The sequence below is a fragment of the Homo sapiens genome, chromosome 15 (assembly GCF_000001405.40).
Source record: "Homo sapiens chromosome 15, GRCh38.p14 Primary Assembly".
NCBI classification, from domain to species: domain Eukaryota; kingdom Metazoa; phylum Chordata; class Mammalia; order Primates; family Hominidae; genus Homo; species Homo sapiens.
In genome coordinates, this window is record NC_000015.10 from 62,019,053 (window position 1) to 62,042,270 (window position 23,218).

General features: G+C 32.3%; 1 protein-coding gene across 9 annotated transcripts in view; it reads right to left on the reverse strand.

Annotated features, from left to right (window-relative positions):
* Positions 1–23,218, reverse strand: part of VPS13C (vacuolar protein sorting 13 homolog C) — a 208,059-nt gene that overhangs the window by 166,664 nt on the left and 18,177 nt on the right. For 6 of the 9 annotated variants that reach the window (XR_007064464.1, NM_020821.3, NM_001018088.3 and 3 more), the window contains exons 3-9: positions 22,272–22,314; positions 15,905–16,000; positions 14,389–14,490; positions 9,306–9,368; positions 4,728–4,793; positions 4,359–4,468; positions 1,427–1,486 (exon numbers count right to left, since the gene is read on the reverse strand). Coding sequence is in view for 8 of the 9 variants with exons in the window: in NM_020821.3 (NP_065872.1) it covers positions 1,427–1,486; positions 4,359–4,468; positions 4,728–4,793; positions 9,306–9,368; positions 14,389–14,490; positions 15,905–16,000; positions 22,272–22,314 (540 nt within the window). In the remaining variant the exon portion in view is untranslated. The remainder of the gene's footprint in view (positions 1–1,426; positions 1,487–4,358; positions 4,469–4,727; positions 4,794–9,305; positions 9,369–14,388; positions 14,491–15,904; positions 16,001–22,271; positions 22,315–23,218) is intronic. The other 3 variants (NM_017684.5, NM_018080.4, XM_047432742.1) reach the window with 1 other exon arrangement.

The following is a 23,218-nucleotide window of genomic DNA, read 5'->3' on the forward strand; positions in this document are numbered from 1 at the left end:
AGATTTTCTAGTTTATTTGCGTAGAGGTGTTTATAGTATTCTCTGATGGTAGTTTTGTATTTCTGTGGGATCGGTGGTGATATCCCCTTTACTATTTTTTATTGCGTCTATCTGATTCTTCTCTCTTTTCTCCTTTACTAGTCTTACTAGCAGTCTATCGATTTTGTTGATCTTTTCAAAAAACCAGCTCCTGGATTCATTGATTTTTTGAAGGGTTTTTTGTGTCTCTATTTCCTTCAGTTCTGCTCTGATCTTAGTTATTTCTTGCCTTCTGCTAGCTTTTGAATGTGTTTGCTCTTGCTGCTCTAGTTCTTTTAATTGTGATGTTAGGGTGTCAATTTTAGATCCTTCCTGCTTTCTCTTGTGGGCATTTAGTGCTGCAAATTTCCCTCTACACACTGCTTTTAATGTGTCCCAGAGATTCTGGTATGTTGTGTCTTTGTTCTCGTTGGTTTCAAAGAACATCTTTATTTCTGCCTTCATTTCGTTATGCACCCAGTAGTCATTCAGGAGAAGGTTGTTCAGTTTCCATGTAGTTGAGTGGTTTTGAGTGAGTTTCTTAATCCTGAGTTCTAGTTTGATTGCACTGTGGTCTGAGAGACTGTTTGTTATAATTTCTGTTCTTTACATTTGCTGAGGAGTGCTTTACTTCCAACTATGTGGTCAATTTTGGAATAGGTGAGGTGTGGTGCTGAGAAGAATGTATATTCTGTTGATTTGGGGTGGACAGTTCTGTAGATGTCTATTGGGTCTGCTTGGTGCAGAGCTGAATTCAATTCCTGTACTGTCCTTAACTTTAAAAGTATCTAAGTGAACCACATCTTCCTCTCCATACATGCCCCAAAACATGTTTCCTACCACTTAGTTGCCTGTAATAGAAATAAAAATGTCCAGCCTATATATATATATACATATATATATATGTATGTGTGTATATATATACAGACACACACTGTCTACTGTTAAAGACCATTAAAAGAAAAACTCATTATAAAATAATCAAAATAAATTAATTTACATATTGCCCAATGAGATGAGTGTGCGCACACACACACACATACATAAACATATGCATATCTATAAGCTATTTAGAAATTCCATCTACCTATACCGAAGATGAGTACATGACTCTACAGAAATTCATCTTCCCCTACTTCCCCCACATGTTTAAGATACAGCTTTTATTTCTTTCAAATCATTTGATAATGATATTTTGATACCTGTTACACAGAAAGACAAAAATAATTTTAAAATGTAATAATAGCATCACTAAAAATGTTAAACTTCTAGAAAAGTTGTTTAGCATGATAATATATTTAAAAAATCATAGTTCTTTGTCGCATAGTTGATTCTAGACAATTTACCCTGTGACTTCAGAATAATACTTTACAGGTTCCATAGAAGTTTAAAATAAAGCAAACATTACCAGTAGACTAAGCTCTCCCAGTGTGACACCAAATGAAAGAGGCCGCTTTGGATCAGTGACCTACCAAAGAAGAAAAGATAACAGTAAAATATGCTGATGGTGAAGGCGAATCCATGTCCTTTACAATAGGCAGCAGAGGGAAATGTGTTTACAGGTTAAGCCATACAACCCAAATGGATTTGTGGAAAACACAGGGGAAGGAGGTAATAACATGGCTGGGATTATCCATATTTTGTAGACATAACATTTCTATGCTACCAATAAGATCCTTTCCCAGTGGAACTCTTTTCATACTAGAAGATGACTCACTAACTATGACTAACAAGACTTCTCTCTAGACAGTTAAAAAGGAATAATCTTTTTATGTGTATAATCAAAGATTTTTTCACAGATAAATTTTAAAAGGTGTTACAGATAACACTGCCACTAAATCATTTTAATAACACTTAGGGTACATAGTGGAATACTATTCAGCCATAAAAAAGGAAAACATGTTTGTTTGGGTTTTTTTGCAGCAACATGGATGGAACTGGAGGCCATTATCTTAAGTGAAACAACCCAGAAGCAGAAAAACAAACTGCACGTTCTCACTTATAAGTGGCAGCTAAATAATGAATACACGTGGTCAGTGTGTGGAATAATACACATTGGAGACTTGAAAGGGTAGGGTGGGTGAGAAGTAGGTGTAAATGATAGGAAATTTATTAATGGGTACAATGTATATTATGGGTGATGGAGACACTAAAAGTTCAGACTTCACCACTATGCAGTATATCATGTAACAACACTGCACTTGTACTCCTTAAATTTACACATTTTAAAAAAAAGGCTTTCATACTTGGAAATATGAACTATCTCTTTAAGCCTTTAATGTTCTTAACACTTCAAAATGCTTCTAGGAAAATCTCTAGATCCTTAATATTTAATTTCTTTAGTCTCTATATCCAAAATCTGTCAACATTAAGTTTTTGTTGTATTTCTGATCTTCAATATCTAAGTTGCAATCCACAGTGCTTAAACTATACCACAGTGTGCACAGTATCACCATTTTAGACATCTTAAAGAAAAGTCTTATAGAATTGTTTGGTCATGGCAGAAACTAAGGGAAATAAGGAGAAGGGAAATGGATAATGTTCTAAATCATCCAACTGGGACTCCAGAGTTTAGTCACATACAATTTTCTAAATGGAAAAAAATCCATGTGGTACAGTTGAGAAGTACGAATAGCTTTATAAGTCATTTTAATTAACATCAGATATACAATGATTTGTGGCAAAATATTTTCCTTTATTCCCACACTCTCTTTTTATACTTAGAGATAACCAGCTCAAAATAAACCTGCAGCTCTTTCCGAAGAAACTCATTTGTTTTATTAAAGACAACCCTCAGTTGCTAATGTACTATCTACAAACCACAGCTATTATCCAGTGAGCATCTTTATGATAAATTATTATATTTTCTCTACACCCATTTCTTAATACATAATTTTGCAAGTGAAAGAATTTCCTTCATTTTAAAGGCTGAATAGTATTCCAATATGTATATACACATTTTATTTACCCATTCATCCACTGATGGGCAATCTTCTCTATAGTGAATAGTGCTGAAATGAACAAGGGAATGCTGACATCTCTTTGACATACTGACTTCAATTCCTTTGGATATATACAGCAGTTCCCCCTTATCCTCTGGAGATATGTTCCAAGCCCCCTAGTGGATGTCTGCAAACACAAACAGTACCAAACCCTAAATATACTAGGTTTTTTCCTATATATACATACGTATGATAAAGTTTAATTTTACAAATTAGAAATGGGATTGCTAGATCATACAGTAATTTGATTTTTAGATTCTGAGGAAACTCCACACTGTTTTCCAAAATGGCTGTAGTAATTTACATTCCCACCAACATTGTACCCAGGTTCACTTTTCTCGACATAGGATTTTAATGATAATTCTTCCACTTTCATGATGCGTTGAGTATACTTTATTTTCTTAAGCTTGTTATTAACAAAGGCATTTATGAGTGAGGTTTTTTTAAGACATTTATTTGTTAACACAATTCATTTTAATGACTCCATAAATCAAGTCAGTATAAGACAGAGGTGGTATTTTTTGACAATCTACAAATGTGTCCTGCTGACTTATCAAGTTACATAGGGAACTTACCAAGAAAAGAAAAACAAATTCTACAAATGTCAGTATTGCTTTAATTCAATTCAAATTAAAAACAAAAAGAATGCAAACTCATTTTTAGAAGCAATGAACATTTCCAGGTTCCTAGATAAACGAAAAAATTCAAGTTCTTACATGTTTCAAACTTTTAAACAAAGCAATGCATATTGTTCAAAATATGTGTTGTATGTTAATTAAAATTAGCCAGTTAAACAGTTCTTAATCAGCTGATGTTACTCTTTTGGTTATGAGTGAAGTTTGGTTTCTTCTGTGCAACTACTGTTGCACATGTGTGTGAATAATTTTGGGTGTTCAATCCAACTCAGTGGTATGTAAAGAGAATGAGACTACAGTCAAGTGACCAGATTTTAGTCACTTTTTGGCCAATTAACATTATCATTAGTTATTCATCACCTTTTAGAATTAACTCTTTTGTCAGCATAAAGCAAAAATTAGTTCCTTAAAGTTATAATATTATGTCTTAACACGTAAAATAAAATTCAAAAAAAATAACAGAAGACAATCCAAAAACCTCTTATATCAGCTTCAGAAAGGAACACATGGTAATTTTATAGTATATTTATGTACATAAATGCCCAATAAAACGAGGCTAACACAAGAGGATATGGTAGTGTACTCATAAGAAAAAAATTAATCTCGGATTTAAAAATGGGCACAGATAATCCACATATAGAAAAGTCAAGAATATTATAAAATACATATTTAATTATTAACTGAGTAAATAAAAATTACTTACATCATCTTCATATTTAATGTGAATATCTGTGATTTTTACTTGTACATTTTTTATTACTTGAGTTGCCAATTTTTCCACAAATGTATCCTTTTTGGCTTCTTTTGGCTTATCTATTAAAAAATAGAAAAATACAAGCTCAAGAGTTGAAATTCTCATATACCTCAAAATTAATAACCAAAGGATAGCTAAGGTACTACTCAATGGAAATTACAGCCAATAGTGTCTTTATTTATATTTTAATATGCATTTCCAACTTAAAACTTGTTTTTGAATTTATACTGTTATCTGACATTCATTTCACATTCCAAATCAGAAATAAAGTGGCAATGTGTATAAACAACACCATGGCATAAAACTACTTTTACCTACCTTTTGAACGATCAAGACCTTTAAAAGGTTTCTTAAAATGTTTTTTGTGCTTTTTACGTTTACGTCCTTCACAGTGGAAGCATTTTAGTGAGAAAAGGATAAGATTCAAGTTAGCAGACTACAGGACAGAAAAGAAAACAAGAGAATTTTTCCTAACAGCAAATTTTGGCACAACTCACCTTACCTTATTCTAAACTGACCTGTTACTTCAATATAAAGACAAATTTACAAACCTTCTTTAGTCTAGAATAACCTTCTATTGTAAAGAATAACCTTCTTTAATCTAGAAAATAAATTGGCAGGTGTAATTATACTAAAATTGGATAAAATCTCCATTCCCAATGCCATTTATAATATTAATGACTTTACAAAGTTACACTTTAATTTCAATATTACCAAAATATTGGAAATGTAACAATGACAGAATATAAAACTTTCAGAAGAAGGTTTTGATAAACATATGGTAGGAACATAGGCATACAAATGAAATGAAAGGGTAAGTTGCCCACAGATGACTTCCTCTGGATGATACACTTCACAAGCAAATTATTTAATGACTCAAGGATATAAAGAACATTAAGTGGGCATAACATGTACATTGGACTGTACACTGAATTCGATTAGGAATTCCTTTAAAACCTCATTCTCTTTCAACACTGCCTCACTGCATTCTGGCATTTACCAATACCTGTCTTACTCAACTTACAAATCTTCATACTCAAATTCCTATCAGGCATCACCTCCACCCTGAACTCTTGAGGCAGTCTCTGTATTATCTACTGATCTCTAGTCTCCAGCCTCAGCTCCTACTAAAGGTCCTTCTACCCTGTTACCAGATTGATGTCTTTTAAAATACTAATCACATCCTGTTAATCTCTTGCTCAAAATTATTTAAAGGCTCTCTGCAACCTTCCAGACATAATTAAAATGTGTTTACACAATAAAGTCCTTTTATGATGTGACCCTACATCCCTGTCCTGTTCTATCTCCTAACATGCATCCTTGCACTGGATACTACAGAAATAATATTTCTACTTTCCCAAACAAGCCATACTTTCTAATGCCTAATGCCTCTACACATGTCATTCCGTGAACTTCCGTCACCCTCCCGGAAGTTCTTCACCAGGCGAACTCCTAGGCAGCTTTTAAATCTCAGGTCCAGCACTACTGCCTGTGTGAAGCCTTCTTAAACTACTCCAAGTAGCCCCAGGGCCTGTACCTTACACAGAATTGCATTAAACAGTGATTATACCATATTTGAAGTGTTTGCTCAATTGTCTTGCCATCAGGCAGGAGACTTCATTAGGTCAGAGATAATCCTACACCTGGGCACAAAGCACACAGTACTTATCTGTTCAAATGAATAAAAAAAATTCAGATCCAACTAAATTCATGTTATATATATTTTAGAGAATATATGTGAAATGGAGCTTGAAATTTTTAATTGGTTCTTCCTTGATTTTTAAAAGCAAATTGTTCTGCCACTACAAAAATTAAGAAACAAATCCTCAACTACAAAAATAAAACCCTCAGTTTCAAGAAGTAAACATTTAATAAGTAATGTAACACAATCAGGATAGTGCTATTCCAGTAGTTCTTGCCACTGTGAAAGTCACTGACTCTGTTCTATTCATAAATCAAACATACATAAAAAGAATGAGTTCTCAAAGAAATACCATTTGAAAAGAAACAAGTAAGAAAGCCAGTCTAGCCCTGAAAACCATTCCACTTGGCTAGAACAGCTTTCAAAGACATAGACTCAGCTGCCTCGTGTTAAATTCTCTTCTTACCTGACCAATTATCTTTCTGGTTTCATATTTGTTCTAGCACCATGTTCTGTCTTTCATCTCAATGGCAGATACACCATGTTTAAACCTCTCTAAACAGTTTAAATCTAATCTTAGAGCTAATATAGCTCTTTAGAGAAAGTTTCTAATTAATCCAATAAATAATAAATTTATGATTCTCAATCACAAACTAAAGCAGTTCTCAAAGACTTTGGTTTCACAACCCATTTAGCATTTATAACTTGAGGACTCTAAAGAACTTTTTATTTATGTGGGTTATAACTACTGATATTTACCATATTATAAATAAAAACTGAAAAAAGACATTCATTTAAAAATAGGCCATTACATAATAACATACAGTTATAAAAATAGCTATATTTTTTAAACACAATGTTGTGAGAAAAGTTGCATGGTTTTACATTCTTACAAATCTCTTTAATGTCTCACTTAGTAGAAGACAGTTGGATTAGCATATCTGCTTCTGCCTTCAACCTGTTGAGATATGTTGTTTTAATTGAAGTACATGATGAAAATCTGATCTCACTATAGATATATAATTAGAAAAGGGGGGAGCATATTCATTGCCTTTTCATATCAAACTCAACAAGTGGAAGTTTCTTAAAGGTAGCTGCATCATGGAATCTGAAACCCTATCAATGAATTTTTCATACAAATCAAAATCAATTAGTCCTTCTTGCACTTTAAATGAACCCCTTTACACATGTATGATTTTTATCTTCCATTGGAAATATTGCTTTACTGAATTATGCAAATCTTCCAAATGTCAAGTCATTTCATTATTTAATATCAAAAGTCACATCTGTTAATATTACCACCAATCTCATCAGAAAAGTCTTAAAGTACTACTGGGAAGCTGTCGATCTCAAGTTGGCAAATACAAGTTTTCCAAAATTCTACTCAAGAGCTCAAATTTTATCACTGACAACAAATACTGCCAGTTCCTTTTCCTTGAAGTGGTTTTGTTGAAGTGTCTACCAAACAACCAAATCTGAATAATGATAGTCTGTGATTCTTCCCACTAAAAATGGCTTTCCAGAAAAAAAGCAACTAGCTCAGCTCACAACTCAAACATCTGCACAAGTAATTTTCCTTGAAACAACCATCCTACTTCAGTATGCAGAAATGCTTCAGGCATACTTTCTCTGCTGTTGCACAAAATATTAAAGAGACATGCTCAAGGGTTGAAGTTTATTAAAATTTAAAACTTCCTACTTCATCAAGGGAATTCTTAAGTAAAAACTGGCAATTTTTTTGTTTCATTTTGCTTACTGTGAGTGCATGGCAGTGAAGAATACAGTGACTACTACTACAGTCTGGTGCCACTGCCTTGAATCATGCTAAGGCAGCTAGCAATTTTTACACACTATTGCTTTTGCACCAGCAATGTAAATGTCAATAAAAGGAAAAATCAAATAATGCTTAGTATTATTATGAAAATCATTTTGACTTTTTGAGAACCACTGCTTTAGAATAAAAAAAAGTAATATCAAATGAGGAAATAATATGCACTCAGAAACTGAAAAGAGGAAATGATCATGAAACACACGTTAAGTCCTAGCCAGCTGAATGAAGATATCATCAACAAAATAAACTACTCTCATTTCAGAAGCACCAACATTCTGGACCTCATTTTTTTATCTACGTTAATATACCTTTAAAAAAAAACTGAATCAATGATGTTTTCTTTTACGGTGACAGCTGTTATAGTCTGCTGTTTTTAACAATGCTACCCAGACTACAGTAAGCTGGTTTGATTATAACCTACAAAACCAGACAGTGAGCCATGAGTATCTCCATGCTATCTTTGATATTAAACAAAGTAACTATAAGACAACACAGGCACACTTACGGAAGGAGTAGGTTTATTAGAACGGAAACTGCTTTCAGGGTAATTTCACCTAATGCTGTAAAGCCTGTCATGAAAATTCCACTTCCATCTGTCACATGAATCAACCTATTAAAGTTCCTAGCTACAGAAATAATTCTAACATGATGCTTATTGTTTACAAATTTCAAGATACAGACCCACTTGCCATTTAATCAAAACAAATTTAAATGTGACTGAGTTCATCTAACAAGCTCTTGAAGTATGATATAAAACATAAAGTTTAACAAATAAGATTATGTAAAATACTAAAAAGTATTATTTTAATATATTTGGTAGATTTCCTAGTATATAAAAGAATCATATCATAAATCCTAATATAAACAGTAAGACTTTAATTTGCCTTTTGCGAAGCTTGAAATTTCAATATGCTGTACAGGACAGTAGTCTAGAGGCACCTCCAGAGCTACAACAGAGGTGAAACAAATCAAAGCTCAGAGGAACACCTCCTGTCACGGTTCTGAATTCAAAGAAAAATTCCACTTTATTGCTTTTTACGTTCCAAAACCACCGCTATCAGAGAGGAACTGCTTAATTCAGAAACTACTGAACTCTAGAACTAAACTCAAAAGAGTAGCCCAAATCTGAAAGTTATCTGTAGTTCATATTCTAAGCTTCGTAAGAACAGTGAATCATGTTTGTTTACCCCACAAACATCCAGCATCATCCAGCACAGTGATTGCCACAAGACACTCAAATATTTAGTAAATGAATAAACGACTACAGGTAAGGAAAAGGAAATGATGGTAGAGGGGGAAAACAAAAATTGCATTTCCATATTTTCTAAAAGGATGGCATGCCATCAAATGGACTCCACCAAAAGCACAAGCATACACAAGAATATGTTTATATAGTTGAATATAATTAACCATGCATACCCACCAGGCTTGATGTCCTTGTAAACAAAGTTCTCCAAGCCATATATGAACTCCCCTGAATGTGTGCCTGCATCCCACATGGCAGCAATAACCAAAATGCAAAGCAATTTAAAGACACCTTTAATTTCACATGTAAAATATACCTAAATTTAATTTCATATAATTAGAAATCATGTAACAGGGTAATTAAAATTTGGTGACACCAAAACTATTTTATTTCTGAGGAAATATTCACAGTGACACCATTTTCGTTCTTTCAACACACAAACTTCTTAACAATTAAAATTATAATAATCATTTCAAAATATGTGAGGCAGGTAAATATCAATTTCGGCTAACGGCTCACTAAAATTTTTGACAAGTTTTCAAACAGTGCAAAAATCCACTATTTTGGTTCTCTTTTTGCATGCCATTTTGTCCATTTTCAGAATATAATATTACTGTGATATTTGACGCTAATTTTAGAGTGGGCTGAAATGACCTCATCTTACTTTAGTGTGATCTGGTCCCTTTACATACACTATCTGAATCCTTTATAGCCATTCTCATTAATGATGGCTACATAGCATCTTCTACTTCGCTCTCCAAATCCAGTCTATCCTAGACAACACTGCAAGTTTTTCCTTAAATCATAACTCTGATCATGTCATTCTTTGGACTCTTAAAGAAAGAAAAAGGAAAACTTACACCCCCGCTGGCTATGGATGAAAGTTCACATTGTACAGGGTTAAGATTACAAGATCTAGAGCCAGACCGGATTCAAATTCTAGCTCTACTATTTTCTAACTGTGTGACCTAGAACAAATTATTTAACTTTCACTTTCCTCAGCTGTAAGATGGCAACAAAAATAGCACCTATATCAAATGTGACTATTAATGGGTTAATTCATATAAAGTATTTTGAAGAGTGACTGCTGAATAGTAAATCCTCAATAAATGTCAACTACTTTCACTGTCATTACCATTAACATCATCAGAGCATGCAAATCTCTTAAAATTGACCTAAACTTAGCTTTCCAACCCTACATCCAACTACTCTCTATCAGACTCCCAAACTGTTAGCTGATCCCACAGATGCTCTATACTTTCCCACCTTCACTGTCTCCTCTACCTATGCCTTCTCTCCTTTCTGCAGATCCATCCTTTAAATCCAGTTGAAATATACACCTTCATAGTGTCTACCCTGATCTCTTTGGCCGACTATAACATGTTCATTCTGAACTCCCATAAAACTGTCTGTACCTCTTTGATGGGACTCAACACTTTCTCTTGCTTATTATTATGCAAATTTCTTATTTGTCCAATTAAAATATAAGGTCTTTGACAGGAGGGTCCAAGGACTCTCTAATTTTTCTGCTTTCAACAATGTGTAGACTGGCATCAGACTTTTTTTTAAAGGAGCCTGGAAGCTAGAAAACATTGCTGCCTACAAAATTCTAATTTTTAACCTAGCATTCTATCCCCAGACAAATCAAACGAGTGTAGAAGTAAAACACAAAGACATTCAGCCTTAAAAGAATTTTCGAAATTATATCCGGTGCATCCATTCTTAAAAGCTTCTAGATGTGTTCTAGGAAAACAAATGAGTAAACTAAGGAAACAAAAAAGGCAAAGGACCCAGGAAACAGGGAATTAAACATAGACGAGCAATTCAGACCAGTCCTAAGATGACACCTGTGCAGCTGGTCCAAAAAACAATCAGTTCAGAGGGGGATCTCCAAGAGACAACAGGGTGGTACAGAGTACCAACAGATGGGTTTACACGATTGGAAAATACTATCATTTCTCATATAGCAGACAAATTTCATGTAGCATGTGAAAAAGAATTAAAGATAAATTTACATAGAAGACTAAGCAAATAAGAAAGCAGCATTTACAAATTCAAGGAAAACAAAAGGTTGTATAAGAAAGGAAATATAGTCATAGTACATTGATATGATTTGGATATTGGTCCCCTCCAAATCTCATGTTCAAATGTGATTCCCAGTGTTGGAGGTGGGGCCTGATGTGAAGTGACTGGATCATTGGGGTGGGTCCCTCATAAATGATGACAGGCCTGCTTCCAATTCATCTTCTGCCGTGACTGAAAGCTTTCTGAGGCCCTCACCAGGAGCAAGTGCCGGCATCATGCTTCCTATACAGCCTACAGAACTGTGAGCCAATTAAAACTCTTTTCTTCATAAATTACCCAGTCTCAGGTATTCCTTTATAGCAATGCAAAAACTGCCTAACACACACATCATGTGACCTGCGCAGTGAACAATAATCACATTGTCATAGTAATCTAAGTAGTGACTAGTAATTGGCCAAAAATTATGATATATTCATATTATGAGAAAATGGGAAGGAGAATTCAGGGTGCAAGGAGATAGTAAGAGAAGTAAACTCCGTGACTACCATAACAGGAAGTCCTAGATAATGCCTTATGTTAATGAACTAGATTAATGACAGAATGTTAACATCGCTAAAAAATATTACTAACTCAAAGGAGTTGGTCTGGAGGGTAGCAAAGGATGAAACAAGGGACTGCCATTTTTTATCATGTCATTTTGGCAAAACTATTGATTTTCAAGTGTGTGTACATATTACTTTGATAAAATCCAACATCTTAAGTACAGAATCTAGCATTTGCGAATCTTTTGGCCTTACTAGGAATTTAATCTTTCTCTTTATGATAGCCTTCCAGAAAAATAAACTCACTCCAATGAAATAAAAGGAGAAAAACATCAAAGAGTTTATTTTTACAGTTAAGCAAACTTTCTAAAAATGAACTCATAGTTTTATTTCAATTTTATTTTATTCCTATACGATAGTGGGAAACAATATAATTTTACCACATAAAACAAGCTAAGTCAAAATCCTTTTTATGAGCAGACCAGCATGATAATTTTGTTTTCATTTTTATCATCTGCTACTTAGAGTTGAATCATCTCCTCTCCTTCCCTCTCTGAGTCCCTATACATGTGCAATGGTGCTTTTGTGCTTTTAATATCAATAAACAAGTAGAAAAATAAAGTATAATCAATAACTATTAATAATGGTAAAATGTGAAATATATAAAGGTCAGGGTTGTCCTCTATCATTCACATGAATAATATTATTTGAAGATGTGACTCATATCCACAGAAATGAGAAAAGAATACTGCAATATTCTTAAATGTGTTTCTTAACAGTTAAGAAAAAAATAATCTAAATATACTTCCCAATTCCTGAATTCATCTTTTAGTCTCAAAACTTTTTTGACAAATATAACATGTTAAAACTGAGTGTTAAAAGAGTTTCACTTTTTGAATTTTAATTCTATATGAAAAAAACTTAAATTTTATCATTCAAGAAGCTACAATGTCATTACCATATACAGCATAGGCCTAACAGTTCTATTTACACAAAATTAATACTACAGATGTACATCCTTTATATCAAACCATTCATAATAGCCTCTTTGTCAGACCCAAATGTCTGTTTTCTCAGCACTGAAGACTCAGGAGTCAAAATTTCCTAAGTCTGAGTACGAAATGTGTAATAATCATATTACCAATTAAACTGTCAATCACGAAAACAAATGAGACTATATACCACGACTTTTCTTACAGGTGACTGAAAACACTAACATATTTTTAGGCAAATATAATTATGCTCCATTTTTTAAAAAGGAGGAGCTTAAGATTTGTTTCTAAATAATATATGTAACTTATTATGTAATTGTAAATGATAAATGTGTAATTATGCTATATCAATATATCTAAGTATACATCAATATACCTAATGATGAATATACATATGTTAATATCCTAATCTGAATAGTTTCAAGAAAAAGTGAAATTCTAGTGCTCTCCAATTCTTAGCCTTCATTTTTATGGTACTACTTTTACATATATTAATTAGCCAAAATTGAATATAAAGAAAAAAATCACAATTGTCATGAAACAAAACCATTCTTGGCTTGCTTTTTTGCCATGGTAAAGTTATACAAATAAAGAAAACTGTTTCCCTAGAAATACAGATACTTAAGCTTCAGCAGGAAGACAAAATATGCTCAAGTGTGAAAATAAGAGAAAAAATGTTGAAGCTTCTAGAAAATTTCTTCCACTATGGTAACCTCTGTATTTTTAAATAGTTTAGTAACTTTTAATAAAAGAATCAATATTTCTGCATAAGAAAAAATACTTGAAGCAAGAATTTAAAACTTTGATTAAAAATTTAAAGGAACAACCTATTTAAAAAAGATTTCTAATTGATTCAATTAAATGACAACATCTTAAGCTAGGAAAAGAAATCTTATATCTAAATATAATTAACATCATTTCTAACTCAATATTTGCTTTATCTTTTGAGAGAGACTATCTTCATCATAAAAATATATACACATGCCACCAAATGACACAAAAATTATATAAAATGCTAATAACTCATATACCCTAATCAGCAATTGTTGATTGAGATAAACAATAGATGTCTGGAAAAGTCCTTCAATTCATCACTCTATAGACTACTCTTTTTCATCATATCCTTGTTCTTGCTCTATAAACCAAACAAAGTCATCAGATTTATTTTTAGATAAAAACAAAAATGTAAACGTAAGGCAGGATGTTAAAATGCTAAAACCTGAAGAATCAAGTTTTTGGGTTTTTTTTTAATATCCTGTACAACACGAAGGGAGATAGCTAGGACTAGAATTAAAGCAGCATTTCCTCTAAACATCATTTCACTATAGCATTATGCTTAACCTCATTATCCAGCAAGAACACGGGTAAACATGCACACAAAGAAACTTACCATTTGCCCAAAATAAACAGGCCTGCAAATACTGAAAATTTGGAAAGTCTTCCAAACTAGCACAATAAAAATGACTAATTAAGAAAAGTGGAAAAATCAAATTGGCAACATGATAAAACACTCACAGAAAAAAGGCAATTACTTTTTCCTAAAAGTGAGTCATGAAAATATAAGCAATATTTTGAGATTAAAAAAAAATTATGTCTTTAGAACTTCAACTTATGAAGGCTTACAAAAGCATCCTCTTTAAAGGATATTAATTATATCTAAAATATAGGTATGTCTAAGTTTATCTCAAAAAAACTTTTTACCTTTTTCTGCTGCTTTTTGAAGGGCTTCTTCAATTCGGGATAGCTCTTTCTGTTTAACATCCTGCAAGGATTTTTCTTCTTTTACAGCATCATACTTAATACCTAAAAATATACAGTCAATTCACACAAAAATAAATGGAATTAATAAATAAACAAACGGAAAAAGTTCAGCCTCATTAGGATTGTGTAAGTGTATAATCCTTCTGCAATACAAAAATACTTTCACATTTTTAGTTTTACGAAACATTTAAACATAAATTATTCCTATTCACTTACAAAAAACTGAAATACAAAAAGAAGGAGGGAAGAAAAGAAATTACAGGTAGAAAGGCAGGTAGGAAAAAGGGAGACAGGAGGAGGGTGAGAACAAAGATAAGAAGTAGAAACAGAAGGAAGACAGCAAGTACACCAGAATACTGCTCTATCAGTGGTAAATCTGGAATAATTTAATATCCAATACTACCTGGGATCAATATACACTGATTTTTTAAACTTTCAGAGAGTAATTCGGAATACATATCAACAATCATAAAATATATAAGCCCTTTTTATCTAGTAATGTCATTTCTGATCATGCAATCTAAGGAAATAACACAAAAGAATAAAAAAGATCTATAATGACATATTTATAGTATTGATTACAATGATGTATTTATAGTACTGACTATAGTATTGACTAGTATTTATAGTATTGACTATAAAGCTAAAAACAGTAGGTAGCCCACAATAGAATACCATACAGCCTTTCAAAACTGTCACTGTCACTGTGAAAACTGTGAAACCTATCAAAAATGTATATAATAAAAGGCCAAGTCAATGTTGTATATATAATGTGGTAACAGCTACTGAAAATCAGGTATGCATAAACTAAAGACTGAAGAGCAAAATGTAAAAATAAAAATTTTATTTGTACAATGGTTAAGAAATTGTAAGTAATTTTTCCCTAAAACATCCAAACTTTTCTTAACATTATATTGTTCTTATAAGTGAAAAAATAATAATAAAGATATTACTTAAACATCACTACTTTAAAACATTAAAAATTAAAATACTATCATTTCGAAGGAAAAAATTACCAATTATACACATTTTTGAAAGAACATTCACTCAAAATCAGAAGCAACAAAATAGGAAAAAAAATAAATTTTTCAATCTTGAAATCTGGAGATTAACACATCAGGATATTTTTAAAGATTTATTTCACTTCATTTATTATCAGTAAATCTGCCTAATGCAGCTCAACAGGAAGCCTTAGTTGCAAAACAAGTACTCTTAGAAAACAGAATAAATTGAAAAAATGAATTAAATTTTCAACAACAACAATACTTTATACACAAATGCGGTAAGATATATGTGCATACATATATAAAAGTATGCATATAAGTGCATCTATGTATGATTCATTTATTTAAATTACCTTCTATCTTAATAAATAAATGTATTAAAATACTTAACTCAGATAACAATTTAATTTCAATGTGATGTTATTGAATGGTTATAACCTAAAATAACATACTTGCTCCAGGGACAACAAGCAGGTATAATCCTTCCAGGGTCGCAACAACTGCTTCTCCATAAAGGTTCTTCCAAGGAATCTTCAAAGTTAATTTATCTAAGGAAACATAATTTCAACCTTAAATTATTATTTGACTGCTCAAGAACACAAAAATTTCTCACTTTCCATTAAGCGAAAAAGCATAAAAAACTCTTCATGGTATGTACATCACTCAGAAAAAATGAAAAAAATCCAACACTAAAGTTTACAAAGGTCTTTTCCACATAAAATTACTATTAAGTGAATAGTCACATTGTAATTTTTATTTTTCAATATAAAATATTTTGATAATCATTATCCATTTAATATTCAAAAACTGTAAAATGAATAAGTCAGCTATTATTTCAATCCTGAAAAAAAGGAAACTCAGCCCTAGTGAAGTTAAATTAATTGCTTAAGTCTATCTAGTGAGTTAAGCAGTGACCAGATTATTAGTAAGGATGCTGGACCAGATTCGGTGCACAACAACAGTTGATAGTCTTAATATTGCACATGCTCTTCTATCCACATCAACAAATAAATCCTTATAGATCAACAGTAAAATAATATCTGCACAAGCTACCAGGAATTGAAGCAGCAACACAGAGAAGAGATGCAAAGGAACTTTGTGCAAATGGAATTTTGACAGCATACCAAATTGTCACAACAGGAAGAGGCTAGCTCTAAAAGCAAGGCATACGGTATTATGAATAGTATTATGAGTCACAGGCAACTCAGACCAGTTATATTCCAAATATCTACTTATAAATCACTTAGAAGACAGAACACATGTTCTCTCTTGGAAACAATGGTATTAATGTCAAGTCCTCCTGAGGTGAGCCCACAAAAAACTTTCACTCATGACACAGATGAACTATGGCCCTAATATTACTGTCCCAATTTTGGGGTTTTATGGGGGAAAAGCCTGTTCAGGGAAGACAAGAGAAGACCAAAAGGGCATGCTCTCAGCTAAATTTTGAAATAGGCAAAATCTGTCAAAATCTTTCCATGTTTCTTTCCCTAATCTCTAGTATCCCCTCGTTCCAGGTCTCCAGGCAGCAAAATGTCCCCAATCTGCCTTACTACAGCAATTCTATCCAAACCTTTCCTACACATAAAGTTTTACATGTTCCAAAATAAAATACCTTCCTTCATCTATAATTTTTAAACTTATATTTAAAATCTATAGGTCTCTCAGAGCTACTAATCAAGATTTTCAGGAGAAAAGAATTTGATTCAACTAAGTCATGCTTGTATGTGAATAATTAAAGTCACTTACACCACCAGAATCACTGGTGGTTTTTCATTTAAAATCATTTTTAAATGAAAATGCTCAAAGTTCAAAGAACTGAAAAACAGTATAACAAACTAAAGAGAAAATAAAATAATGCAATGTAAGACAGAATATTTGGGGTCACCTAGATGGATATGTAGGAAAGCCAGTTTTACCTGGTATCTATTCCCAAGGTTAAAATATCAAATTATTTCTCCATTTAGATTTTCACTTCTCTTCAGCTTGTAAACCTGCTGAATTTCTTAAATGGCTTGCATGTCACGGGAAGTCTACAACGCTCTGGGTCATTTCTAAGTCCAGTGATTTTATATTTACAATAGGTACTGTTACATTTGTAATTATCTCAAAATCTCCTAACAAAATTTATTTGATTGCCTTCTTGGTGAGCATAAGACAGAAAAAGTGGGAAACGTCCCTTTAACTAGCATACAGAAAGGGACTGTCTGTTCCCTAAACCTTTTCTTCTCTACATTTATACTAATTATCCCCCAATCTCTCAGAAAGGTCCTAGAATTGAGTTTTTTATATATTACTCCCTCCTTTTATAGATCAGGAAATTTTTTAAATTTTTAAGAAAACGGGTAACTCAAGGGCACCCACAAATATGTCTAGCTCTTAGAAAACCAAATCACACTTGAGCTTAATTAGCCACACTGACCCTACAGGTTAGGTATAATATTTTAACCTAAGGAGAAATTTAACAACTAATATAAATGCTCTGTAAACCAAAAAAAAAAGATAGTTATAAAGACAATATACTTTGCATACTTATTTGTAAAGGGTCTCTCATAACTCAATGGGTAACAGTGAAGGAAGCCATTAAATCTTTGTGTACTTTAAAAGCAAAAAGAACAAATTCTGAACCATTAGAAAATCTCCTCCATAATGTAAATCTATTATATTGCATAATATAAATATAAATATAATAAATATAATATATAAATATATTATATAATATATTATATATAAATATATATAATATATTTATATATATTATATTATATAATATATTATATATATTATATTATATAATATATATATAAATATATTATATATTATATACATTTATATATAATATATTATATATAAATGTATATAATATATTATATATAAATGTATATAATATATTATATATAAATATATATAATATGTTATATATAAATATAATATATATTAAATAAATATATAAATATAATATAATAAATTTATTATATTGTAAGAATATAATAAATTTATTATATTGTAAGAATATAATAAATAATGCAAAATTTCTTTAGTCAGCTATAATTGATCTAAGACACTGGAAATACAATTTCAATCTATGTTCCAATTTTAGATGTCTATAACTTCCTTGAAGACAAAGATATCACCTTCATCCTTGCATCTCCCATAGCACTTGCATAGTCTTGTACGTAACATGTGCATAAATATTTCAAAAGTAAAGAATAAATGAATGGCTACAACTTCTATATTCTAGGATTTCAGTGAAGCATATAGGGCCACAATACTTCTAGAGCACTGCTACACATAACCACCACATTCAGCCCTATCTAAAAAACAAAAAAGATGACACATGCCTAAAGATGCTTTCAATCTAAGAAAATTTATCCTGTTTCGAGACAAAAACATAAAAATATTCTTGTATGTTAAAAGGAAACATATATGTCATATAAAATGACCCAAACGGAAGTATCCAAATAATTGCTAAGAGATGCTAGAGTAGTGAAAGACAAAGCCTTCCTATAATACAGAATATTGAATAAAGAAAAAAGTGATATAGCGTAATAGCAGGGTGATAAAGTTGGGAGAAAGGATGTAGCATAAGTAAAATTATAGGAGTAAGCCATCTTGGCTTGTAATTTACTTATTTTTTAAAGTAAATCCTAAACATAAAACCTGAAACTATAAAATTCCTAGATGAAAACTGAGGAAAAACTCATCTGGACATCAGCCTAGGCAAAGAATTTATGACAAAGACCCTAAAAGCAAATGCAAGAAAAACAAATTAAACAAATAGGACTTAACTAAGAAGCTTCTAGGCCAAGCGTGGTGACTCACACCTGTAATCCCAGCATTTTGGGAGGCCGAGGCGGATAGATCACTTGAGCCCAGGAGTTCAAGAACAGCATGGGCAACATGATGAAACTGTATCTCTACAAAAAATACAAATATGAGCCAATCATGGTGACACACCCGTCGTTTCAGCAACTTGGGAGGCAAAGGTGGGAGGATCCCTTGAGCCCAGGAAGTTGAGGCTGCAGTAAGCCATGACTGTGCCACTGCATTCCAGGCTGGGCAACAGAGCAAGACTTTGTCTCTAAATTAATTAATTAATTTTTAAAAAGTAAAAATAAAAATCTTCTGCACAGCAAAAGAAATAATCAACACAGTAAACAGACAACCTACAGAAAGGTAGAAAATATTTGCAAATTATGCCTCCAGCAAAGGACAAATATCCAGAATCTACAAGGAACTCAAACAACTGAACAAGAAAAAAACAACCCCATTCAAAACAGCAAAGTACATAAACAAACATTTCTCAGAATAAGAAATACAAGAAGCCAACAAACACATGAAAAAATGTTCAACATAACTAATTATCAGAGAAATACAAATTTAAACCACACTGAGATACCATCTTACACCAGCTAGAATGGCTATTATTAAAAAGTCAAAAAATAACAGATATTGGCATGGATACAGAGGAGAGGGACTACTTGAGTACTGTTGGTGAAAATGTAGACTGGTTTAACCTCTATGGAAAACAGTACGGAGATATCTCAAAGAACTAAAAATAAAAACAGCAATCCCACTACTGAGTACCTAAAAGAAAATAAGTCATTATATAAAAAGACACCTGCACTCATATGTTTATCACAGCACTAACCACAATAGCAAAGTCACACAACCAAACTAAGTGTCCATCAACAGTTGACTGGATAAAGAAAATGTGATACATATATACCATGCAATAGTATGCAGCCATAAAAAAGAATGAAATCATGTCCCCTACAGCAAGATGGATGAAGCTAGAGGCCATTATCTTAAGTAAATCAACTCAAAGGTGGAAAATCTAATATTGTATGTTCTCACTTACAAGTAGGAGCTAAACAATGGGTACAAATAGACATAAATATGCATAATAGCCTTTACAGTACACAGCTCCACAGAGACATTGCCAGGACAAGTAAGAGATAAGGAATTAACAACCAGAATATATAAGGAACTCAAACAACTCTATAGGAAAAAATCTAATAATCTGATTTAAAAATGAGCAAAAGATCTGAATAGACATTTCTCAAAAGAAGACATACAAATGGCAAACAGGTATATGAAAAGGTGCTCAACATCACATCATCACAGAAATGCAAATCAAAACTACAATGATATACCATCTCACCTCAGTAAAAATGGCTTTTATCCAAAAGATAGGCAATAACAAATGTTAGCAAGAATGTGGAGAAAAGGAAGACCTTGTACACTATTGGTGGGAATGTAAATTATTATGGCCACTATGGAGAACAATTTGGGGGTTCCTCAAAAAACTAAAAATAGAACTACCATATGATCCCCCAATCCCACTGCTAGGTATATACCCAAAAGAAAGGAAATCAGTATATTGAAGAGATACCTATACTCTCATGTTTAATGCAGCACTATTCACAATAGCCAAGATTTGGAAGCAACCTAAGTGTCCATCAACAGGTGAATGGTTAAAGAAAATGTGGTAAATATACACAATGGAGTACTATTCAGCCATAAAAAAGAATGAGATCCTGCCATTTGCAACAACATGGATGGAACTGGGGGTCATTATGTTAAGTGAAATAAGCCAGGCACAAATAGACAAGCTTCACATGTTCTCACTTACTTGTGGGAACTAAAATTAAAACAACTGAACTCATGGAGACAGAGAGTAGAACAATGGTTACCAGAAGCTAGGAAGGGTAACAGGGGAGAATGGTTAATGAATACAAAAACAAAGTTAGATAAAATGAATAAGACCCAGTATTTGATGGCACAACAGGGTGACTACATTCAATAATAATTGATTGCACATTTACATATAACTAAGAGTATTAATTACATTATTTGTAACACAAAGAAAGGATAAATACTTTGAGGTGATAGAAACCTCATTTACCCCGATGTGATTATTACACACTGCATGCCTGTATCAAAATATCTCATGTACCCCATAAATATATATACCTACTATGTATCCACAAAAATTAAAAATAAAAAAATTTAATGGAAATAACAGACACTGGGGACTCCAAAAAGGGGTAGGGATTGAAGGAGGGGGGTGGAGGTTCAAAGATTACCTATTGGATACAAAGTTCAATATCTGAGTGACAGATACACTGGAAACGCAATCCCCACCATTACTCAATATATCCATGTAACAAGCATACACATGGACCACCTAAATCCAAAATTTAAAAATGTATAAATTAAATAAATAAATAAAAATAAAAACCAGATAGCATGGACTAGATGGGAAGACTTTGTAGATTAAATTTCCTATTGAAAAAATTTATTCAACAAAGATATATATTTACTTATAGATGGTCTTAGTGTAGGAGTTTAACTGCAGAGAGACTTTGTACTTACCAAAACATATCCTCCATACCACATTGCTGCATAATATATCAAGTGAAAATGGTTGAACAAAACATGAAGGAAATAAGCTACATTTACAGTTTACCTACTGGAGTTTGCAAATTATACTACTTTCACATTTAAAGAAAAAGCACATAAAACTTGGAAATCTAATCTGAAAATGAAGGTATATTTTGTGTGGTGGAACCAAAGCCTGAAGAATGCAATTGCAGTTCAAATAGCCTTCCATTTTCTACCTTTTGTCATAAAAAAAAGAAGTATGTACGTTTTATATATAATATACATTAGGTTCAGAACTCTACGAGCTCTAATTAATGAGGCAAAAAAAAATCTCTCACACTTTTAATCAAAGATTTTTTTAGGTTAAATAACACAAGCAAAATAGAAAACAATAGGACCAAGAATAATTCAAATGAAGACTAAAGTACTTACCAATTTGGCCAGCCTTGACTTTAAAAGGAACATCCAATTCACTCTTCAGAAGAAAGAGAAAATGTAAAGGACATCTTAAATTATGAAGCCAACCCAAAAATCACTTTTGTGTGATCATTTAAATACACATGTCCAAAGAAAAACAAAAACCAAATTTTCTATATTTGAATAACTCATAAAGGACATGTTTTATAGCCAAAAAACGTTTCATAGGCCTGGTGCAGTGGCTCACACCTGTAATCCCAGCACTTTGGGAAGCCGAGGCGGGTGGATCGCCTGAGTTCAGGAGTTCGAGACCAGCCTGGTCAACATGGTGAAATCCAGTCTCTACTAAAAATACAAAAAAATTAGCCTGGTGTGGTGGCAGGTGCCTGTAATCCTAGCTAATCAGGAGGCTGAGGCAGGAGAATCGCCTGAACCCAGGAGGCAGAGGTTGCAGTGAGTCGGGATCGCGCCACTGCACTCCAGCCTGGGTGACAAGACAAAACTCTGTCTCAAAAAAAAAAATTATAACTTAAACTTTGACTTTAAAGAAAGAATTCACAAGAGAAACAAAATGATAAATAGTAAAAATAGAAAAAGTTTGTAAATAGCCAGGTAAACTGGTTACTTGTTTTAAGTAAACCAAATCAAATGGAAATTAAAATCAAACCAAATCAATTTAAACACATAGACAATGTTTATCTGAAATACTAGAACAGAAAAAAGAAGAGTCTTTTTGCATAAATTAGTTGAAAACATTACTGAACAACAGTTCTCTCTCAAATATTTAGTAAATGAATAAACTTAAAAATCTTTAAAAGAAAAGCTAGATTCCCAATATATTATTTACCAAATTAGTATTTCGTTTAGATAAGTTACAGAGAGGTGCCAACAAATAATAATAAACTTTCACTTACCTATATTCCAAACAACTAGAAAGTTCAAATAACTTTTTTTATTCACAG